At 47.2% G+C, this 22,607-nt stretch overlaps 1 protein-coding gene across 4 annotated transcripts in view, besides 2 other annotated features; it reads right to left on the bottom strand.

Moving 5' to 3' along the window:
• Window positions 1–22,607, bottom strand: part of PLCG2 (phospholipase C gamma 2) — a 223,645-nt gene that overhangs the window by 41,963 nt on the left and 159,075 nt on the right. For all 4 annotated transcript variants that reach the window (NM_001425751.1, NM_001425749.1, NM_001425750.1 and 1 more), the window contains 7 exons: window positions 19,943–20,111; window positions 15,216–15,320; window positions 12,949–13,038; window positions 12,132–12,307; window positions 10,003–10,203; window positions 8,007–8,126; window positions 1,059–1,239 (listed from right to left, as the gene is read on the bottom strand). In NM_001425751.1, the coding sequence (NP_001412680.1) occupies window positions 1,059–1,239; window positions 8,007–8,126; window positions 10,003–10,203; window positions 12,132–12,307; window positions 12,949–13,038; window positions 15,216–15,320; window positions 19,943–20,111 (1,042 nt within the window). The remainder of the gene's footprint in view (window positions 1–1,058; window positions 1,240–8,006; window positions 8,127–10,002; window positions 10,204–12,131; window positions 12,308–12,948; window positions 13,039–15,215; window positions 15,321–19,942; window positions 20,112–22,607) is intronic.
• Window positions 7,412–7,911: an enhancer, noted in NCBI's record as "H3K27ac hESC enhancer chr16:81946417-81946916 (GRCh37/hg19 assembly coordinates)". NCBI's record gives its function as "activates a minimal SCP1, AML or CMV promoter by ChIP-STARR-seq in primed H9 embryonic stem cells {active_cell/tissue: H9 hESC(primed)}" and the evidence as "EXISTENCE:reporter gene assay evidence [ECO:0000049][PMID:30033119]".
• Window positions 20,044–20,545: an enhancer, noted in NCBI's record as "H3K4me1 hESC enhancer chr16:81933783-81934284 (GRCh37/hg19 assembly coordinates)". NCBI's record gives its function as "activates a minimal SCP1, AML or CMV promoter by ChIP-STARR-seq in naive and primed H9 embryonic stem cells {active_cell/tissue: H9 hESC(naive and primed)}" and the evidence as "EXISTENCE:reporter gene assay evidence [ECO:0000049][PMID:30033119]".

Raw genomic sequence — 22,607 nt, 5'->3', positions numbered from 1 at the left:
GCACACCACTGACAAGATCCACCCCCACCACCTCTCTGTTCCTCTCTAACTCTTCTTTCTGTTCCTCATGTCACCTTAGGGCTTGTGATGTGGCCACTCCTGTACCTAGAGTCACCCCTTCATTCACTTCTCCCCAGATCCCATTCACTGCTATCTTCCATGTTTCGGCTCACATTTCTCCCCTTTTAAGGTGGCCTTCTCTGATCTCCACTCCCACAGCCTAAGGTAGTGTCCACCCCTTTTCACACTATCCTGTTTTCTTTGCTTTATTATATTTCATGCTACCTGAAAACATCTTAATTGTGTATATTATCTGTCTCTCCTCTCCAGAACCTAAATTTCCCAAAGCAGATTTTGTTCCACAGTACTCCTAGTATCTAGAACAGTCCTTGGCACATGATCGGGATGCCATAAATCTCTCTTCAATAAATTAATGATCTATGTGGTAGGAATGGAGACAAAGTAACCACATCAGGTCTCTCCTGCACCCAGAACTCTCCAATGACTCAGAGAAAAAGCCAGGGCCTTACAATGGCCTATGAGCCCCTGCATGATAAGTCACCTGTGAACCCTCATCCTTATTTAGCTCTACCCCCACCTGGGCTGGCTTGATTCCGGCCATGCTGACTTCCTCTTGGTGCCTCCAGGCAGGCTTCTACCTCAGGACCTTTGCGCATGCTATCCTCTCTTCCTCCAGAACATACCCACATGGCTCATTCCTTTTCAGTGAGATCTTCCTAGACCACCCTCTGAAAACTTCAACCCCTTCCCCATCACTCTGTATCCTCTTATCCACCTGCCCAGTGTTTTTCTCCATAGCACTCATCACCATCTGGCACATGCTATGGATATTTTAAATGTCATTTGTTGCATCTCCCCAACACTACACTATAAGCAGCACAACGGCAGGGTCTTTGTTGTGCTCAATTTGTATCCCCAGGACCTACAGCAGTATCAGATACATGGTGAATACTCAGAGGTTTGCTGAATTCATGAACAGATGAGTTACAACCTCAGACAAGAAATCCCACCAAATCACAAGGGAGTCCACCACCTACCATATTGTAGCGCTCCAGGAGCTCGGGGGTCACGGGGTAGCGCAGTCTCATCTTTCGGTAGAGTGAATGCTTCTCGTAGTAACTGACGAGCTCCACCAGACTCTCAAAATAGGCGGAGGTCCCCAGCACAAAGTGCCGGCCGTCCCGGTTGATGCGACAATGCTTTACCTTGCCCCTAGCCCTGGAGCAGGAAGAACACAGGGTTGACATGCCAAGATCCTGGTGGCCAAACAATTTTTACACAAACCCTACTGATTAGATACAACCTAGTTATCCAGCCTTAGAGAAGTGGGTAAATAAACAGGGTATAGTCCTCCTATGGAATACAAGACAATAAGAAAACAATGATGTGGGTATTTTCAAAACAGATCTAGAAGAATCTGTGTCTCAGAAGAAATATGGCCGAGTGACTCAACAGCTCCTCTTACCCTTCCTCTCCTCCCCAACTACAGGACTTGACTTTAGGAGCTTCCTAGGGAACTAGGTCAAGAGTAGGCCAAATGTGTCCCACCACCTGCTTTTATAAATAAAGCTTTATTGAAACACAGCTACAGTTCATTTGTTTATACATTGTCTGGGACTGTTTTCACACTGTAACAGCAGAGTTGTGTAGCTGCAACAGAGACCATATGGCCTGCAAAACCTAAAATATTCACTCTGTGGTCCTTCACAGAAAATGTTTGCCAATCCCCCCCACCTCAAAATTATTAAATCTTGTCTTCGGTGACTCAACTAGCAAAACAGTGACTTTTTTTAAAAAAAAAAAGAAACAAGTCTTTCATTCCTTCATCTGTTTGAAACATGAAGCAGAAAAAATCCAAAACAGAAGAGCCTCCTTGGTTTTATTAGCTTTTATCAGCAAGACAGAAACATCTGGAAAAATATTTTTGACCCTAAGTTTACAGCCAAGAGGGTCTTTTTAAAAATGTCTACCCCAAATAGCCAAAGCAATTTTGAGCAAAAATAACAAAGCTGCAGATAGCACACTATCTTACTTCAAAATATACTACAAAGCTATAGTAATAAAAATAGCACAACAGTGGCATAAAAACAGACACACAGACCAGTGGAACAGAATAGATAGCCAAGAAATAAATCCATGCATTTACAGTCAACTGATCTTCAATAAAGATGTCTAGAACACACCAGGGGGAAAGGACAGTCTGTTAAATAAGTAGGGTTGGGAAACCTAGATTTAAAAAAATTAAAAGAATTTTGAAATAAATTCCTATATAGAAATAATAGCAATTTCGAAAGAAGAAAACTAGACCATTATCTCACACCATAAACAAAAAAAGCAGCTCAAAATGGATTAAAGACTTAAACATAAGACCTGAAACTGTAAAACTACTAGAAGAAAACAGAGAGGAAAACCTCCGTAGCATTGGTCTGGGCAATTATTTTTCAGATATGACCCCAAAAGCACAGGCAACAAAAGTGAAAGTGGATAAATGGGATTTTATCAAACTAAGAGGCTTCTACATAGCCAAGGAAAGAATCAACAGAGTAAATAAACAACCTACAGAATGGGAAAAACATCTGCAAACTGAACATCTGGTAAGGGGTCAATATCCAAAATATATAAGGAAGTCAAACAGCTCAATAGTAAGAAAATAAATGACCCAATTTAAAAATGGACAAAGGCCGGGCGTGGTGGCTCACACCTGTAATTCCAGCACTTTGGGAGGCCAAGGCAGGCAGATCACTTGAGGTCAGGAGTTCGATACCAGCCTGGCCAACATGGTGAAACCCCGTCTCTACTAAAAATACAAAAAATTAGCTGGGCGCAGTGGCGGGCACCTGTAGTCCCAGCTACTCGGGAGGCTGAGGCAAGAGAATGGCGTGAACCCAGGAGGCGGAGCTTGCAGTGAGCTGAGATCACACCACTGCACTCCAGCCTGGGCAACAGAGCAAGACTCCATCTCAAAAAATAAAAAATTTTAAAAAATGGACAAAGGATCTGAATAGACATTTCTCAAAGGAAGATACATAAATGGCCAACAGTTACGTAAAAAATGTTCAGCATCACTAATCATCAGATAAATGCAAATTAAAACCACTATGAGATGTCACCTCACACCTGTTAGAATGGCTATTAGCTAAAGGAGAAGTGCTGGTGGGGATGTGGAGAAAAGGGGACCCCTGCACCTGGTGGGTGGGACTGTAAATTAGCATAGCCACTATGGAAAACAGTACAGAGGTTCCTCAAAAAATTAAAAATAGAACACCATGGGATCTAGCAATCCCACTTCTCGGTATATATCTGAAGGAAAGGAAATCAATATGTCAAAGAGAAAGCTGCACTCCCATGTTCATAGCACCATTCACCATAGCCAAGGTGTAGAATCAGCCTGCCCATCAACAGATAAATGGATAAAGAAAATGTGGTACATTTACATAATGGAATACCATTTGCTTTAAAAAAAAAAAAAAAAAAGGAAAGCCTGTCATTTGCAACAGCATGGATGAACCTGGAGGACATTGTGCTGTGTGAAATAAACCAGGCACAGAAAAACAAATACCACAGGATCTCATACGTGAAACCTAAAAAGGTTTAAACTCACGGAAGTGGAGAGTAGAATGGTGGTTACCAGGGTCCGGGGCAGGGGGAGGTAGGGAGTGTTGGGGATATGTTGGTCAAAGGATACAAAATTTCAGTTAGACAAGAGGAGTAAGTGCAAGAGATCTATGGTACAGCATAGGGACTATAGTCAATAACAAAGTCCTGGCCGGGCGTGGTGGCTCACACCTGTAATCCCAGCACTTTGGGAGGCCAAGGAGGGTGGATCACCAGAGGTCAGCAGTTCGATACCAGCCTGGCCAACATGGTGAAACCCCACCTTTACCAAAAATACAAAACTTAGCCAGGCATGGTGGTGCATGCCTGTAATCCCAGCTACTCAGGAGCCTGAGGCAGGAGACTCCCTTGAACCCAGGAGGTGCAGGTTGCAGTGAGCCAAGATCACGCCCCTGCACTCCAGACTGGGCAACAGAGCAAGACTCCATTTCAAAAAAAAAATATGTCCTGTATTCTTGAAAATTGCTGAGGGTAGACTTTAAGTCTCACCACACACAAAAAAAAAATGGTTAAGTGTGTGTATATGTTATTATCTCAATTTAGCCATTTCACCATGTATACATATTTCAAAACACCATGTTGTACATGATACATATAAACAACTTTTATTTGTCAATTAAATAAATTAGGAAAAGCATCTAGAGGCATCGTTTCTATGGGCATACTGCTCATTTAACAATTTTGCATGGCAGGGAAAAAAATCAAGAAAAGGCATTTTTTGCACTATAGAGAGACTTTTTGTTTTAAAATATTTATTTTTTTCTTTTTTTAAAAAACGTTGTTTTTTTTCTTTTTTTAAAAAAGGATTTCCAGTCTTTTGAAAAAAAAAATATATTGCTTTAAGCGATTTCGTCAAAAAGTCCTGTAAAAACAAAATGCTAGAAGACTTCTGCTTCAGTGGTTTATTTCCAGTGATATTTTATTAAATATTTATTCCTTCTAAAAAAACAGAGGAAAGAAAAGAAACACTGCTGAGTAGAAAAGCTGCAGAATGTTCCCATTTGTATTTTCTAAAAATAGAATGAAAATACCCAGACACAAAATGGCACCATATATTTTCCATAGATACAGACATGTATAAATATGTACATATTTTTTAAATGTCTGGATGGACACACCAGCTAGAAAACTGTGCTTTCTACCAGGACCTCTCTACTGAGATTAGAAGGACCACAGGGGGCTTTAGCCTTCACTGTAATGTCTTAATTTTTTATAGAGAGAATATCCTCCTGCAATATTCATGTAATTAAAAATTAATTTTAAAACTTTTTATAAGAGCTCCTCAGGGCAGGCAGGGGGGCTCTGGGGTGCCGAGGTACAGAGCCAAGGTCAGGTTCCGGCTCCTTCCACAGGGGACCCCTAAGCCTCAGCTTCCCGATCCACAGCATCGGGGATCCACAACCCGTCGCATGGGGAGCATTAGGATCATCGTCTATTAGCTTATTCAGGGTAAGCTGTCGGCACAGTGTCTGGCACTCAGGCAGGACTCAGTAAGTGAATGGTTTGGAAAACATAAATGAAATCAACCCACAACTAACTTCCCTGGGAGAAAAGAGAATCAGAAGGGGAGATGGGAACAGGTCTGGAATACGAGTTGCATCTTCCATCCTCCTGGAGCGTGGATGCCACGGCCACAGCCTGAGGTCTCAGCTTCACTGCCCAAGAGATGCCTTCCACCAATCACAGCCGGGCAACAACTCAACACTTCCTTTGTGGATTTGAAAGCAGGTGTTTCTCCTCTACTGGGGAAATCTATCCAGAAGTTCATTACACATCCCCAGAGCCCAGAACAGTGCCTGGCACAGGAGAGGCACTTTACAAATATGTAGAGGGCAAGGAGAAGTTGCTGCAGACCTGTGTTCCCCTACTGCCTGGTCCAAATTCCCCATCCGTTTCCCTGGAGAGCTACTCACCCTCCACCACCCTGCCTGACCAATCCCTTTGTAGCACTCATCACAAAATACTACACTGATTTCCTTATGTGCTCAAACCTCCTCAGTGCTTCTCAGTGAAGGACAGTGACGCTTCACCCCATACCCTGACCAGAGAGGGTTTGAAAAAGTGTGTGTCCTGGGGCAGGGATGTTATTTTTGATTGTTACAATGACTTAGGGTCCCAGACAGACATGCAGTGGGTAGAGACCAGGGAAGTTCAACATCCAAATACAACAGGATCAGTCCTCACACCCCAACTCTTTGAGAAACACTGTGTGGACTGAGCTTCCCTGACAGTGGGCCATGGGGTGAGGTGGGGAGCGGCCATCCTTGCTGATTGATTCACTGAGCCAGCATTCACCAACCACCAACTACATCCCAGCCAATGTTACATAAGCAGGAACAGGTCAAAAGCAAGAAACACTTGGAGTAAGGCGATGTCTCTCATCCCTGCCAGACCATTAGCCTGAGAGAGCAAGGACTGGGCTGTTTTTATCACTCCTGCATCTCTGGAGCCCAGCACAGGGCCCGGCACACAGTAGGTGCTCACCAAACATCTATTAACTTCTAAAAAATAAAAACTTCCATTCTCAAGACACCTCCAATCTCATGGGGAAGACAAGCTCACAAACTGAATGGGGCGTGTATGTAAGTCAGGCAATCAACCTGAGGACCCACCCAACCTCTTCATTCACGCGGTCCCATTGAAGTGACCCCAACCCCATCCCCAGATGGCCTGTCAGAATCATGCCACCTGGCTCAGGGAGGGGGCCATCCTTTCTGCCGGACACTGTCCTGGCAGCCCAAGGTACAGCCACCTGAGACAGAAGCTGATGGAGAGTAACGCCAGCATGCACATACAGGTGGCATCCTGACCATCATCAGGTGAGGCCCCGATCCGGTTGTGTCAGAGCTGTCTCACCGCTTGGGCACCTCAGTTTCAGCCAGTTGGGTTTAGTTGCCATCATTTGCACAGGATGACAGCACAGTGGGAGTGCCAACACCCCACCTGGGGCCTGGCACACAGCAGGTTTTCAATCCGTGTGCAGCGGACTGAACACACCTCCTCCCCATCCAGGCTGAGGAGGTACCACTAAGAGGCTTAGGGGAAAGAGCAAAGGGCAGAGGCACCAATGCTGAGAAGCCCAGGTCACCCTCTTGGGAACAGAGAGTACAGAAAAGCCATGCTGGTGGGAGGCTGCTCTCTGGCTGGAGCCAGTACACAGTAGGTCCTCAGTAAACTATAGTGATAATGACCGTCACCACGGTCCCCAGGGAGGTGGCTCAGGCATAGTGGTGCAGGCAAGGAGGAAGGGAAATCCAAACGCCCAGGGGGCAGCCTGGCAGGGTCACCAGGGGATGGGATCAGGGCAGAGGGAATGGGGAGAGGAGTGGACAGGGGCAAACCACACACCCCACAGTAGCTGCCATGCAGCCAGCACCACCGCGCCCATGTGGAAACACAGGCCCAGAGCATCCACTGCCTCCCATTTTTCACAAGAAGCAATCTGAGTTTTTCAGTGAAATTTCTCAGTTTTTCACATCAGTGTACAAAAGACGCCCACAGGCCTCTGGCTGGAGATTTGGCCCCCAGGCCTCTGGCTAGAGACTCTGGAGTGAAGAGCTTAGGCTTTGGAGACGGACAGGCCTGCATCTGAACCTCAAACTCAGTTGACTATGAGGCTGTGTGACTCCAGGCAGGTCACTTAACCTCTCTGGTCCTGTTTCCTCCCTTGCAATAACTAGACCTACCTCTCACAGGCTGTAGCAAAGGATTCAATCAGATGAGGCCTTGAAGGCAGTCCAGTGTCTAGAACACGGTTAGGAACTCAACATATAGCAGACTGTTACCACCGTAAGAACATGCAGGGAAACCCTGGGGCTGGGGAGATGGAGGGACAGTAGGCTACACGGAGTCTGAGTCACTCCTCGGCTCCTTGTCATTAGTGGAAGTGGGAGAATCTGGCGTTTTGGGGTAACATTAGAGAACCACAGGCCTAGAGGTGGTTGGGCAGCAGCTGCAGTTGGGAGGAAACCAGATCTATATCATCACAGGCCTGGGCTGCCTGGGCTGTCTGGGCTCGAATCCCAGCCCCACCACTTAGTGGCTGCATGCTTCAGCAAGTTACTTAATCTTGCTGTGCCTCAGTTTCCTCCTCTGAGAAACACGGATCATGGTCATGTCAACCCCACAGAGTTACTGGAAGCCAAAGTGAGTTACTACAGAACATCCTGCCCTGGAGAACGCAGACTGTGCCTGGCACGCAGGAGCGCACATTCTCGCAGCGGCTTTTGCTGTGGTGGTTGTTGTTGTCGCTGATGCTGGGGGGGCAGGGCACTGCAGGTGAGCCTCCACCTGAAGTTCCCCCTTGTCTCTCCGCATCTGTCCTTGCCAAGCCCCTCTGTAGAGCATGTGCCTCCCACCCTCGCACCCACCTGAAGGTGATGGCATAGGAGTCGCTCCCCTCTCGCTTCCGGATCAGGAAGGCCCCGTCCCGGGGAATCCTCATCAGCATGTCCTCTGCCTCTCCGCGGCTCAGGCTGTCATAGTACCACCTGCGGCACAGGGCCAGGGAAAACGACCAGGTGAGCGGTCTCCAGGCTGTCAGTGGGCCACCCGCAGAGGACAAGATAATGGCACCAGTGACACCTGGAACCTGGCCCTGGAAACGACCATGGAAATCACACAGTGGGCTTCCCCAGACAAAGGCACCTCAGCAAAGAGAATTTGTGAAAAGAATAGTGGAAGACCCCAGGGGTCTGTTTCAAGCCCAAAATAATACATTGGGCCGAGCACAGTGGTTCACACCTGAAATCCCAGCACTTTGGGAGGCTGAGGCAGGAGGATCACTTGGGGTCAGGAGTTTGAGACCAGCCTGGCCAACACAATGAGACCCCCATCTCTATAAAAAATAAAATAGCCTGGGCACAGTGGCTCACGCCTGTAATCCCAGCACTTTGGGAGGCCAAGGCAGGTGGATCGCGAGAAGCCAGGAGTTCAAGACCAGCCTGACCAACATGGCGAAACTCTGTCTCTACTAAAAATACAAAAATTGGGCCAGGCGTGGTGGCTCACGCCTGTAATCCCAGCACTTTGGGAGGTTGAGGCGGGTGGATCATGAGGTCAGGAGATCGAGATCATCCTGGCTAACACGGTGAAACCCTGTCTCTACTAAAAATACAAAAAATTAGCCAGGCATGGTGGCAGGCGCCTGTAGTCCCAGCTACTCAGGAGGCTGAGGCAGGAGAATCACTTGAACCCAGGAGGCAAAGGTTGCAGTGAGCCGAGATCATGCCACTGCACTCTAGCCTAGGCAACAGAATGTGACTCTGTCCCAAAAAAAAAAAAAAAAAAAAAAAAAGGAAATACAAAAATTAGCCAGGCCCAGTGGCGTGCGCCTATAATACCAGCTACTCAGGAGGCTGAGGCACAAGAATCTCTTGAACCTGGGAGGCAGAGGTTGCAGTGAGCTGAGATCGTGCCATTGCACTCCAGCCTGGGAGACAGAGCGAGACCCGGTCTCAAAATTAATTAATTAATTAATTAATTAATTAGCTGGGCACAGTGGCACACACCTGCAGTCCCAGATAGGAGGCTGAGGTGGGAGGATCACTTGAGCCCAGGAGCTCGAGGCTGCTGCGAGACGTGATTGTTCCACTGCACTCCAGCCTGGGCAACAGAGCAACACCTTGTCTCAAAAAATTGATTCATCTTCATCCACCCAAGCAGCCCAAACCTGAAAAGCCAGGCTCCCAGGGAGGCACAGTTATTGCCACGTGTCTCAGAAAATCGAAGACGGAGATCACAGCAGGAGTTTCACAAGGTTTTGGGTTGTTTTCGGGTTATTTCTTAAGATAAGAAATAGCAAGTTTTAAGAGGCAATCCATAGGAAAATGTGACAGAAAAAGTGAAAAAAAAAGTTGCTATAAGTAATACGGCCTCCTCGGAAATGGACATTTTTGCAGCTTTCTGCCTAAAAATTGTTTTTTCTTTATTCCCAGAATTTGTTGACCCTTCGCAAGACCTACCTTGATACTCATTTCACTAGATAAAAAAAATCAGCGGGAGACTCTTATAATCATTGTTTCCTTGTTCATTTTCAGAACAAACAGGAAGGAGCTCTGAAAGGTAAGAGAATATCCCCAGGCCAAAATGACCCTCTGAAAATCAAAGCCCAAAGTCTCGGGGCTATGAAGACAAAGTAGAAGAAAGGGAAAAGAGAAAAGGGGAGGAAAGAAAGAAAAGAGAAAAGGACACAGGTCATGGTGCCAGGAATTTGGAAACTGGCCACCTCGGCAATTTTGAGATGCCGGTGGGCTGGGGAGAGGGTGTCCTGGGGGACTGGCCCGGCTGAACCACCAGGCCAGCTTCTCTGCCTGGTGGAGCTAACCCGACCACCGCCTGCCTCCTGCTCCACCCTCAGACACGTACGGCTTGGACTCGTGGGGGTTGGGGTTGGGCACAGGGTCCGTGAGCCGCAGCTCGAACTCGGCGCAGCGCAGGTGCGTCTCGCGGTAGTGCTGGATGAGGGCATAGATGCTGCTGAAGGTGAGGTTGTCAGTCAAGTAGTATTTCAGGGTCCCGCCCTCCATGGTGGAGCGGATCCGGCAGTGCTGGACCCGGCCTGACCGCCTGCGGGGAGAGGACGCCATCAGTGCTGGGAGAACGCAGGCCAGGCCATTGCGGCAGCCAGGGCCTCAGAGGCGGGGACATTACATGTGGCCACACAACCTTCCCTCTGCTCCTAGAACAGACACAGGAGGCTGGGCGCAGTGGCTCATGCCTGTAATCCCAGCACTTTGGGAGGCCGAGACGGGTGGATCACCTGAGATTAGGAGTTCCAGACCAGCCTGGCCAATACAGTGAAATCTCGTCTCTACTAAAAATACAAAAATTAGCTGGGCATGGTGGTGCATGCCTGTAATCCCAGCTACTTGGGAGGCTGAGGCAAGAGAATCACTTGTACCTGGGAGACGAAGGTTGCAGTGAGCCGAGATCACGCCACTGCACTCCAGCCTGGGCGACAGAGCGAGACTCCATCTCAACAACAACAACAACAAAACCAGATGCAGGGCCTTAGTATAGGCTAGACCCTCAGCCTGGATTCCAGAACATTCTACCTACTTCCCCCACCCCACCCCACCCCATCCCCCTTTTATATATATAACTGCTTCTCTAGAGCCAGGATGCCTGGATTCAAATCCCAGCTCTGCCACATATGAACCAAGTGTCCTGGAGCAGGTCACCCGTGCTGTCTGAGCCACACTGTATTACTACCCCAGCGGTCTGACAGGAATGATAACAGTATCCACCTCAAAGAGGCATCCTGAAGAGTAAACGAGACCACACACACAAGGTGTCTCGAATACTGCCCAGCACATGGTAAGCATCATTTAGGTGTCCAGGATTATTTGCGTGTTATTAGTATTCTAATTTTCAGCCAGGTGCAATGGCTTACAGCTGTAATCCTAGCACTTCAGGAGGCCGAAGCCAGAGGATTGCTTGAGCTGAGTTCAAAACCAGCCTGGGCAACGTAGTGAGACTCCAGCTCTACAAAAAATTTAAAAGTTATTCAGGTGTCGTGGCATGTGCCTGTAGTCCCAGCTACTTAAATGGCTGAGATAGGAGGGTTGCTTGAGCCCAGGAGTTTGAGGCTGCAGTGACTGAGACTGCTCCATTGTACTACAGCCTAGGCAACAGAGCAAGACCCTATCACAATTTTTTTTTAAGTGACAGAATTATAATTTCCCTCTTTCAGGTCTCATCTTCTTTCAGGAAGGTTTTCCTAACCATTCCCCACGTCAGGGCATCAGAGCCTTCCTCACAGACTTTCACAAATCCCCCCAACTCACATTAAACCCCCCCAATAAAGGGAGGGATGTCCCTTTATGTTGCCTTGTTTCATTGCACTCATCACAACTATACTTGCAAATCATTTGAGTGACTGCTTTTTCATTGCCCATCTCCTTCAAAAGACGCTAGTGTCCAGGAGGACAAAGACATTGTCTGTCTGGCATAAGTACTGTGTCTAGCACAGGGCACGCCCTCAAGAAGTATCTTTTAATGCACTGAGACATGGATAAGTGGGTGGATGAATGAATGCACAAGCTCATCACAGCCTATGACGGCTTCAAAAGGACAGCCCTAGAGTCCTCGTTTTATGGAGGAGACAGAGATGCTAGAAGGTTGGCTGAATCATCCAGAGCCACATGACCCACTCCAGGGCTGGGATCGGGGAAAGTGAGTGAGACCACATCATCTAAGAGTAGGGTCAGATCTTGTCTTTGTTTAAAATGTTCATATTTTGTTCATCACAGACTTTTTTGCATTACTTTTGATTTTTTAAAAGATTGCCCTGAAATCTCATTAATCTGGGTTACAGTGCCGAAGTGAGTCATACCCACCTCACCCTTGTCCCGGCCTAGAAGAGCTAGACAAATGAAGCCTGGGATTCAGGTCCCAGCCTGCCCAATTCCTGCCTGAGCTAGAACCACTCGCCACCCTGCCTCATCGGTTGGCATGGAGAAGAAGGTAGGCGTTCCCTGGGTCGGGGGCATTACCAGAAGGACAGGGTGTAGTCATTGGGGAAGGTCTCGCTCTCCCGAACCAGGAAGGTGCCATCCTTGCCCCCCGTCTCCATGCAGTATTCCTGCAGCAACTTCTCGGCACTCGTCCTCTTCTCCACCTTCTTGTGGAACCATTTCTCCCCAAAATGTAGTTCTGTAGGGGGTATATCCTGGGCCGCAAAGAGAGGAGGGGTTTCTGAAAGCCTTGGACCAAACCCCAGCATCACTAGACAGGTCCTTCTGTCTCACCCTGACCCAGGGTACCAGATAACATAGAGAGGCCAGCCTCAGCTGGTCCCCACCCGAAGGGGTATGGGAAAACAGCACCTGCTACCCTCCTCTGCCTGCCTCCCACTCCTGAGAGCCCTCATTTATGGTGGCCTCCTGGCATCCTGAGACATGCAGTGAACGGTTCCCAGCAAAGCCCTCCATTCTGTTCTATGGGAAGTCTGAGAGCCATGAGGCCCTGGGGGCTGCAGAAATAAACAGCGGGAAAGATGACCACAGCTGGAGGAGAGGGCAACAGGAAAGCATGGGACCAAGCCAGAGCACCGGCCTCCATCTAAGGCCAATCAGGCACTTTAGAGAGCAGGAAAGCATCTTGAACCTCACTGGTTAAAGCACCTGGGGCAGCCAGCCAATCAGAGACAAGCCAGCCAGGACATGGTACCCAGAGTATCAACAGCTTCTTCAGCGGAGCATCCCCTTGCCAGCCGGCCAGAGAAGCCACATGGGAAGGAGGTCCCGGGGACTGGCTGGTCCTCGGGGTTCCTGGGGACCTCCTCCCTATGTGGCTAGGGTGTCCCCCTACCTGGGGCACTTCCTCCTCCATAGTCTGTTCAATGTCATCACTGAAGGACAGCTTGGCATCGGCAATGGCGCAGTAGTGCCGAGTCCATTTCTAGAAAGTGAAACTGGTATTAGTGCCCCCCAAGTCCTCTACCTCATCAACTGTGGAGCCCAGGAGCCCTGCAGGGCGTCACCCCAGCATCTACTATGGATGTGCTTTTCCCAGTTTCATAGACATTTATGGCGAATTCTCTGAATTCAATTCCTTACAAGGCATTTCTTTTTTAAAATATCGATGCATTTTGAGCTTCTTTTGGTATTTGAGCTTCTTTTTGGACTTTTTAGATCCATGAGTCTAAGGTAGGTACAACTCCTCATCATTTTCTTTTCTATTCCATCTACCTTTTAAAACTTTCAGGATTTCCCAGCCAGTTTGTCTGGAGACCTTACGTTCAATATTTATTTGTGGCTTAATGACTTCTTTTTTTTTTCCCCCGATGAAATTTAGTCTCTGGTTTTATTGTAAAGTACCAGGGTTAAGTTCTTAGCTTTGGTCACTGTTTTATTGTCATGCATGACGTTAATGTGAGAGGAGGCTGGGTGCAGGGTATGCAGAAACTCTTTTTTTTAATAACGTTTTTATTTGTATTTTTTTATTATACTTTAAGTTCTAGGGTACATGTGTACACTGTGCAGGTTTCTTACATATGTATACATGTGCCATGTTGGTGTGCTGCACTGTTTTTTTTTTTTTTTTTTTGAGACAGAGTCTGTCTCTCTCACCAGGCTGGAGTGCAGTGGCTCAATCTCAGCTCACTGAAACCTCCGCCTCCCGGGTTCAAGTAATTCTCCTGCCTCAGCCTCCTGAGTAGCTGGGACTACAGGCACGTGCCACCATGCCCAACTTATTTTTGTAGTTTTAATAGAGACGGGGATTCGCCATGTTAGCCAGGATGGTCTCGATCTCCTGACCTCGTAATCTGCCTTCCTCGGCCTCCCAAGGTGCTAGGATTATAGGCATGAGCCATCGCGCCTGGCCCAACTTAATTCTTTACTTAAATATTGCCATTTTTGGCTGGGTACAGTGGCCCACGCCAGTAATCCTAGCACTTCGGGAGGCCAAGGCGGGCAGACCACTTGAGATCAGGAGTTCAAGACCAGCCTGGCCAACATGGCGAAACACTATCTCTACTAAGGCTACAAAAATTAGCAGGGCATGGTGGTGCACATCTGTGGTCCCAGTTACTTGGGAAGATGAGGCACAAGAATCACTTCAACCGGGAGGTGGAGTCTGTGGTGAGCTAAGATCGTACCACCACACTCCAGCCAGGGCAATGGAGCAAGACTATCTAAAATAAATAAATAAGTAATAAATAAATATTGCCTTTGATATGTATGTTATATCTAGGATATAAGAACGGACATGTAAAAATATACTCAAAATGGATATACACATTAGGTAAAGGGATAGAGGCAGCATTAAAGTCTGAAAAATAAGGTTTCTGGTGGAACGACCCCCAGTTGGAGGACACGAAGGAGTCAGGACAACCTAAATGCACGGCAGCACCGGGTACTGGATCCTGAAACAGGAAAATAGCCTGAGTGAACACAGTGGCAACAATGAAATACCATCTATAAACTAGTTATTAGTATTGTACCAATGTTAATTTCCTGATTGCGCTAATTATACTATGGTTATGTAGGATGTTATTAATAATATTTGGAGAAGCTTGGTAAGGGTAGATGGGAATATCCCATACTATTTGTGTGTGTAAATATATTTAATCTAAAATTATTTCAAAATAAAACATTAAAAATGCAAAAGGAAAATAAAGTTGGCCAGGCTTAGAAGCTTACGCCTATAATCTCAGCACTTTGAGAGGCCAAGGTGGGAGGACTGTTTGAGCCCAGGAGTTTGAAATCACCCTGGGCAACACGACTAAATCCCATCTCTGCAAAAATACAAAAAATTAGCCAGGCATGGTGGTGCGCACGTGTGGTCCCAGAGACTCAGGGAGGTTGAGGTGGGAGGATCACTTGAGCCTGGGAGGTCAAGGCTGCAGTGAGCCGCAATCACACCACTACACTCCAGCCTGGGCGACAGAGTGAGACCCTGTCCCACAACATAAATAAATAAAGTTTAAGAAGGAAGGTAAATTCACATGGCAAAAACTCACTTGACTAAAAATGGGAACAAGACAGGCGTATTCTCAGAGCTCCCAGCAGGGCTCCAAGAAGCAGCTGCAAGGGGCGTGGCCGCAGTGGCTACGGGAAGGGACCAAGGCCCACCTGGTCAATGGAATCCCACATGTACAGCTCCCCCTGTTGCTTGTGTTCGTCCTTCTTGTCCTCCATGTTGACATCCACATCGCCTCGGGGGCCCAGCTTCTTATGCTGAGGGGAAAACATATACATAGGCTGTCTCCATGGAGACCCAAGTTTAGGCCTTTGAGCCAGCAGCCTTCATCTGCCTCTTCCCAGGCAGGGCCTTTGCACTGCCTGTTCTTGCTGCCTGGCTTCCCTCTTAGTCTGTTCAGCTCTGCCCTCCAGGTTACCCTGAACGAGGAGGAGGAGCTTTCCTTACAGCTTCATCTAAAAATTGCCCATACTGGTCAGGCGCAGTGGCTCACACCTATAAGCCCAGCACTTTGGGAGGCTGAAGCAGACAGATCACTTGAGCTCAGGAGTTCTAGACCAGCCTGGCCAACATGGCAAAACCCTGTATCTACAAAAATAAAAAAATTAGCCGGGCATGGTGGCACGCGCCTGTAATCCCAGCTACTCAGGAGGCTGAGACAGTAAGATTGCTTGAACCTGGGAAGTGGAGGTTGCAGTGAGCTGAGACTGCACCACTGCACTCCAGCCTGGGCAACAGAGTGAGACTCTGTCCCAGTAAAAAATAAATAAGTAAAAATAGCCCACACTCCCCTTCCTATCCTGCCACTCTCTAGCCCCAAGCCTGCTTTATTCCTCTCACTTGTCTAGCCCTACACACACCATGTGTTTGTCTTCTGTCCTCACTGCTAGAATATAAACCCCATGAGGGCAGGGATGTTGTTTTGCTTCCTGTTGAGTCTCCTGTGCTAGAAGAGCACTTAGCAGACAGTAAGTGCTCTGTTGATACTCGGTGAATAAACAACAACACCACCTGTGCCCAGCCTTCTCTAGCACACAGAGGGAAAGGCAGGCCGCAGTCCAGAGGGAACAGGCTGGGCAGGGTGGCGGGGGACCCAATGGGGATTAGACTAAGGCGACCGGGGTGCAAACAGCACTGCAGCTATTCTACCAGCTGTGTGACCCCGGGCAAGTGGCTGCACTTCTCTGAGCCTCAGGCTTCTCATCTGCAAGATTAAGACAGTGATGACACCTGGACTCCCACGCAGGCAAGCGTCTGTAAGTTGAGGGTCATGTAACCTGGTGAAGGAGCTCAGGATAGGGGGTCAGATCCAGATTTGAATTCAGGGCCTATTACCTTACTGGCCATGTGACCTTGGCTGAGTCATCATCAGAGTCTCAGTAATCTGTCTCGTAAAATCGGGACGTGGCAGCCCCTGTGGGATCCCGTAAGTCAAAGAACGTGAAAGATAAGTGTCAACAGTGAAGCAGGACCTCAGTGTCCCTTGTGAATGGCAGCATGATACAGGCATGGGAAAACAGGCTCTGAGGGCAGACCACCTTGGCCTTGAATAATTTCCTCAGCAAATACTAAATGTGTGACCCTGGCTGAGCTATTTAACCTCTGAATCTCAATGTCCACATCTGTAAAGTGGGCAAGGGCTGAGGTTATTCGTCCTGCAGTGTCTTGACAAGACTGAATAAGAAGATACATATGACCACGCCTAGCCAAGTGCATGGTACAAAGTGACCGTGTGGCCAACGCTATTTCCACCTCATTTCTTGAAATAGAAAGAAGTGGGCCACAGCGTATCAGGTGTGGGGCAGAGGGTGCTCTAAAAGGGGCCTTCAGTACTTTGCATCTTAGAACAAGAGCTGAAAACTCCCTGGGAACAGGCAGCAAGCCATCCTAATGGAAACAGAAGGAATGAGCTGGGAACAGGGAAGAGCACATGCAACCAGGCTGCCCCGAAGACTCACCAACTAGGTGCCTGAGAAGCCATGGACCCTCCATGGCCGAGCTCCCTCCACCCCTTATCCTGCCTTCACCGTGCTGGAAGCATCCCTTGGCATCTCCGAAACAACTGCCTGGGTGCAAACAGTGCTGCAGCTATTTTGTTAACTTGTGACCCCAGCCAGGTGGCTGCACTTCTCCAGGCCTCACACTTCTCATCTGCAAGACTAAGACAATGACAGCTGATCTCCCGCTTAGGCAAACATCTGTACCTTAAGGGTCACAGTCTTGGCCAAACACTCCCCGTGCACTGATGCTCTTACCCATGGGGGCACCAACATCCCCTCCTCTGGTTGTGCTTGGCCAAAGCTCCTTGCACTGTTTGGTGTTTCTCTGTTGACGGGTTTGTCTCCCTACCAAACCACGACTTCCTGGAACATAAGGATTGTGTCCAATGTATCTTGGTGGCCCAGTGATAATATAGGGTACATGCCACGTGTTGACACCACCACACCCTTGTGTGTCCTATTGTCCCAACCTGGAAGGACATCCCCCTTCTCTGCCTACTGCTATGGTCTGAATGTCTGTGTCCTCCCAAAATTTATATGTTGAAACCTAATCCCCAATGTAATGGTATTTGGAGATGGTAGCTTTGGAAGGTAATATGGTTTGGCTGTGTCCCCACCCAAATCTCACCTTGAATTGCAGCTCCTATAATTCCCACGTGTCATAGGAGGAACCCAGTGGGAGGTAATTGAATCATGGGGGCGGGCCTTTCACGTGCTGTTCTTGTGATAGTGAACACATCTCATGAGATCTGGTTTTATAAATGGGAGTTTCCCTGAACAAGCTCTCTTGCCTGCCACCATGTAAGATGTGACTTTGCTCCTCCTTTGCCTTCTGACATGATTGTGAGGCCTCCCCAGCCATATGGAACTGTGAGTCCATTAAACCTCTTTCCTTTATAAATTACCCAGTCTTGGGTATGTCTTTATGAGCAGTGTGAGAATGGGTAACACAGAAGGTGATTAGGTCATGAGGGTAGAGTCCTCATGAACGGGAATGAGGGTAGAGCTTTTATGAATGGGAATGAGGGTAGAGCTCTCATAAGTGGGAATGAGAGTAGAGCTCCAGTGAATGGGAATGAGGGTAGAGCTCTCAACAATGGGAATGGTGCCCTTATAAAAGAGGCCAAAGATATCTCCATGTCCCAGATGGTTATTTATAAATAAATAAATATTTAAAAATAAAAGAGGTCCCAGAGAGCTGCCTCACCCTTTCCACCATGTGAGGACACAACTAGAAGTCGGCAGCCTACAACTTGGAAGAGGACTCTCATACCAGCACCCTGACCTTGAACTTCCAGCCTCCAGAACCGTGAGAAATCAGTTCCTGTTGTTTATAACCCACCCAGCTTAGGGTATTTTGTGATAGCTGCAGGAACAGACTGAAATACCTAGGAAACAGCTGTTTGTCCTTCCCCATGAGCTCGTGGAATGTCAACAAAATTCACACTCGCTCCTTCCATGAAAGGCTGCCCCGCTAGGGACTTCAGATTCCACAGTCCTTGCAGGTAACGTGACTAAGCTCTCATGCACAGAACAGTAGAGAAAAGGACGGGACAGCTGACTTGCTTACCAGAAACCATTTGCCCTGGACACCCTTGGACTTCCCGTGCTCTGAGCTGGAACTCGGATGTGCCTGAGACCAAGCGTCCACCACATAAACAAGGACAAAGCAAAGTCCCTTCACCGTTTTTGTGTAATGAGCTCCTTCAAAATCTGGGGAAAGCTACAGACCCTTTTCTCAGAATAATAATGCATAAAATTACAAAGGAAACTCAATTATATTGAAACATGATTAAGATATTAAATAAATATTTGCAATACACTAAAAGATGGGTTTCTTCATTAACATCTTAAATAAGATCTAGAGGCAGACCTAATAACCTCCATAATTCCAAAGTGATGACGAGCACAACATTATTTTGAAATATTTGCAATAACTGTAAACGGGATATGAAAACACTCATGACTTCTGCTGGTGACAGAGCCCGCAAGTGGCTTGCTGCCAATGTTCACAATGGAAGGAAGTATTAAGTTTTATGTACAGGTTAAACAAATAAAGATGTAATTTTTTTTCTGTTGAAGTTCACGTGCCCCTCTGATTCTAACCGTGGATTCTTCGGGGGTCTGTGAAACCCCAGTTGAAAACTGCTGCCCTGAGAGATGCTAGAGCAGAATGCGGGGGCCCCGGGTCCCTGAGTCACCTTGTGGGCTAGAGCTCAAAACTCACAGAACATTCTCCCTCGCATGGGGAAGAAATAAACTCTTCTGTGCTTTAAGCCACGGCATATATGGTCTCTTTATCCTAATAATTCAAAAATCCAAATGTTACCATGGCATCCCTAGGCACAGATATAATCACCCATCTCCCCTGCAGTGCTGGGAACATCAGCTCTATTGCTGCACTCAGCCTTTTCTAGCAACTGCCCGCCTCCCACACAACTGGAAGCTGCAATCACAGGAACAGCACCCAGGTCGCTGGACACCTCCAGCACCTCGCATGGGGCTGTCTCCGAGAGAGGATGGGGAAGGTTCACCAATGAACAAATGAACTATAACAGGTTAGCACTTAACGTAGCACCAACCACATGACAGGCGCAGTTGCACGCATTCTGCACGCCTTCCCTCACATCATGCTCCCAGCAAGCTAGCCAGATGAGTTCCAGTATTATCTCCCCCAGAGACTGGTGACAACAGAGGCTCCCAAAGGTTAATGACTTTGCCTAAGGTCACAGTGTTAGTAAGGAGAGCAGATTTGAGCCTGTGCAGTGGGACCTGGAGCAGGCCCAGTAGGACATAGAACTTGGTGAACGGGACCCAGAGCCGGGGAACCGAGCCACTGGGCTCCCTGGACAGCCAACAGCAGCACCCGGGGTGCCTACCTTGATGATGATCTTCTCCCGCAGCTGGCTGGGCGAGGGCAGCTGGTCAGCACTGGCCTCCGTGGGCTTCGTCAACAGCAGGTCGCCAAATACTTCCTTGAAGGCCTTGGCCATGTGACGCTGTTGCTCCACGCTGCAGTGCTCCTCGATGGACAGGATCACTGGGAAGCTGCAGGCAGAAGAGGGTGGGCAGCTCGGCAGGGGGAGCACACACCTCTGCATCTGCCCCACAGAGGGGCCAGGGCAGCTCCCTGGGACGACAGAAACCGGGCGCTGCTCGGGGGGCACAACCCCCACATCTGCCCTCCCAGAAGGAGAGGACCTCATCCTGGGTGTGAAGGCACAAGTCTTGGGACTCAGAACAGCTGCGATCTGATTCAGGAGCTTCCCCATACCCCAGAATGCACCTTTTCTCTGTATTTTTTTCCATCTATTCATATCTTTAAACTTACAGAAAAAAGTCTCTAATCTTTTTTTCAAGTTCAAACCTACAGAAAAGATGAACAGACAGCACAATAAGCACCCATGTGTGCTTCACCCAGGGTCACCAACAGGGACGCTGTTCCACGTGTGCATCCACCTACTTTAGTATGTTTATTACTTCCTCTATTTATAAAGTATATTGGTTTTATATATTCTCATTCATATGCACACATATGTAATTTGCATGTGTGCATGCATACATTTATTATTTGTATGTGTATATATGTATATTTCTATAAGGTGTCTGTGTATTTATAGATCATTTGTGTGTATCTGTAGTTGATTTTTCTTATCTATTGGGGTTATGGTTCATAAAGTCACCACCAACACTGATTGGCAAATACCTGAGCCATTGCTCCTAAGGGGAAATACAGGATCAGGGCCTTTTGAGCGTGTGGTCACAACATTTTCCTCAATGAATCAATATCTGACGTTGTTTTATGTGTGTTTCTGTTTAAAGACACCTGATTTGGTATATATTATTGACTGACACTGGGCTCACAGCCAGCATCACTGTAATTCGTGCCTGAACCAAGCGTATCTGACACAGGTGTTTTCTCCATCGGGCACATCACAGCCTTCTCCTGCTCAGGAACACCAGGCAGCCCTCACCACTGTGCTTCGGGCCATTTGAACAGCAAGATCACCAAGAAAAAGCTCAAAAACAGGAAAAACATGGCAGTCAACAGATGGTGAGGACACTTGTTGAAGCTTTCACGCTGTAGACCAGGAAGGGGAGCGCTGCTTTGCTCACCCTCAGCTGAACACGTGTGCATCGCATGAGTCTCATTTCCCACACTTTGTGCGTGTCTCAGAATGACCTCAGAGTGCTTTGAGATTTGATTTGGGGTTACAAGTCAATTTTAGCAAGTAGAATCCACCAATAAGGATCACCTGTATCCTTCTATATCATGTGAACGTGTATGTATAAATTCACATATCATTAGTACATGTATATACATATATACGTATATATACACACATATATATTTATGTGTGTGTGTGTGTATATATATATATATATATACACACATACTCCTCCTGAGGCAGGAGAAAAGTCATTTATTTATGTATTTATTTATTTTATTTTATTTATTTATTTTTCTTTTGGAAATGGAGTTTCACTCATTGCCCGGGATGGAGTGCAATGGCGTGACCTCAGCTCATTGCAACCTCCGCCTCCCAAGTTCAAGCAATTCTCCTGCCTCAGCCTCCTGAGTAGCTGAGATTACAGGTATCTGCCAGCATGCCCAGTTAATTTTTTGTATTTTTACTAAAGATAGGGTTTCACCATGTTGGCCAGGCTGCTGGTCTCAAACTCCTGAATTCAGTTGATCCACCCGCCTCAGCCTCCGAAAGTGCTGGGATTACAGGCGTGAGCCACTGTGCCCAGCCTATATTTGTATTTCATTTATACACATATTTACGTTTCCTCCTGAACCATCTGAAATAAGGCGCAGACATCCCCCACAGGTATCTCTTAAGAACATCCCCTGACATCACCACACCATATCACCTCAGGAAACTATCTTTAAATAATGATCATTAGACATACTGATCATTAGACATACTCAAATTTCCCCAGTTATCCAAGAAATATACTGTATAGATGGAGTTTTTCCCACCAAGAATCCATCTGAGGCTTGTGCATGGCATTTACTATGAAACAAAATTATTCTAAAGGCAGCTATGTCACTTCCATAAATAGGAAATCACGTCACTCAATAGAAATGAAGGCAAATGTGAAAATAAAGTGACGATGATAAAAATAAAATCCTTAACCATGTTCCAGCTCAAGTAAATCATAGCCTCATCACTCCTGGGAAGCGTGGACCCAGCTCACTCCCCGATCCTGATCCACACACCCTTACTAGAACATAACAGCTAAAAAGCTTTTACAACAAAGGCTACCTAGTAAGTTGGTATCAAAATGTAACTGACAGCAAAATCTGAACCATTCGAATGAACGCTGCTTGCAATCATTTTCTTAAATCCCTCTTAATACCAATAAGGATGGCTTTTGCTGCCAAAACATTAATGCATTAATGTTTGATTACAGAGTTCTAGCCCTATAGGTGTTAGATGATTCCAGCCCTATTTTAACCAGAAAAAACTTCCTCTAGTCATGAATGAGATAATGTTCGATGAATGACTGTCAGCTCACAACCATAAGCACCTATGT

Source organism: Homo sapiens, chromosome 16 (assembly GCF_000001405.40).
Source record: "Homo sapiens chromosome 16, GRCh38.p14 Primary Assembly".
Taxonomy (NCBI): Eukaryota; Metazoa; Chordata; class Mammalia; order Primates; family Hominidae; genus Homo; species Homo sapiens.
Note: the sequence above shows the minus strand (reverse complement) of the source record. Positions and strands in the feature narration are given on the sequence as shown.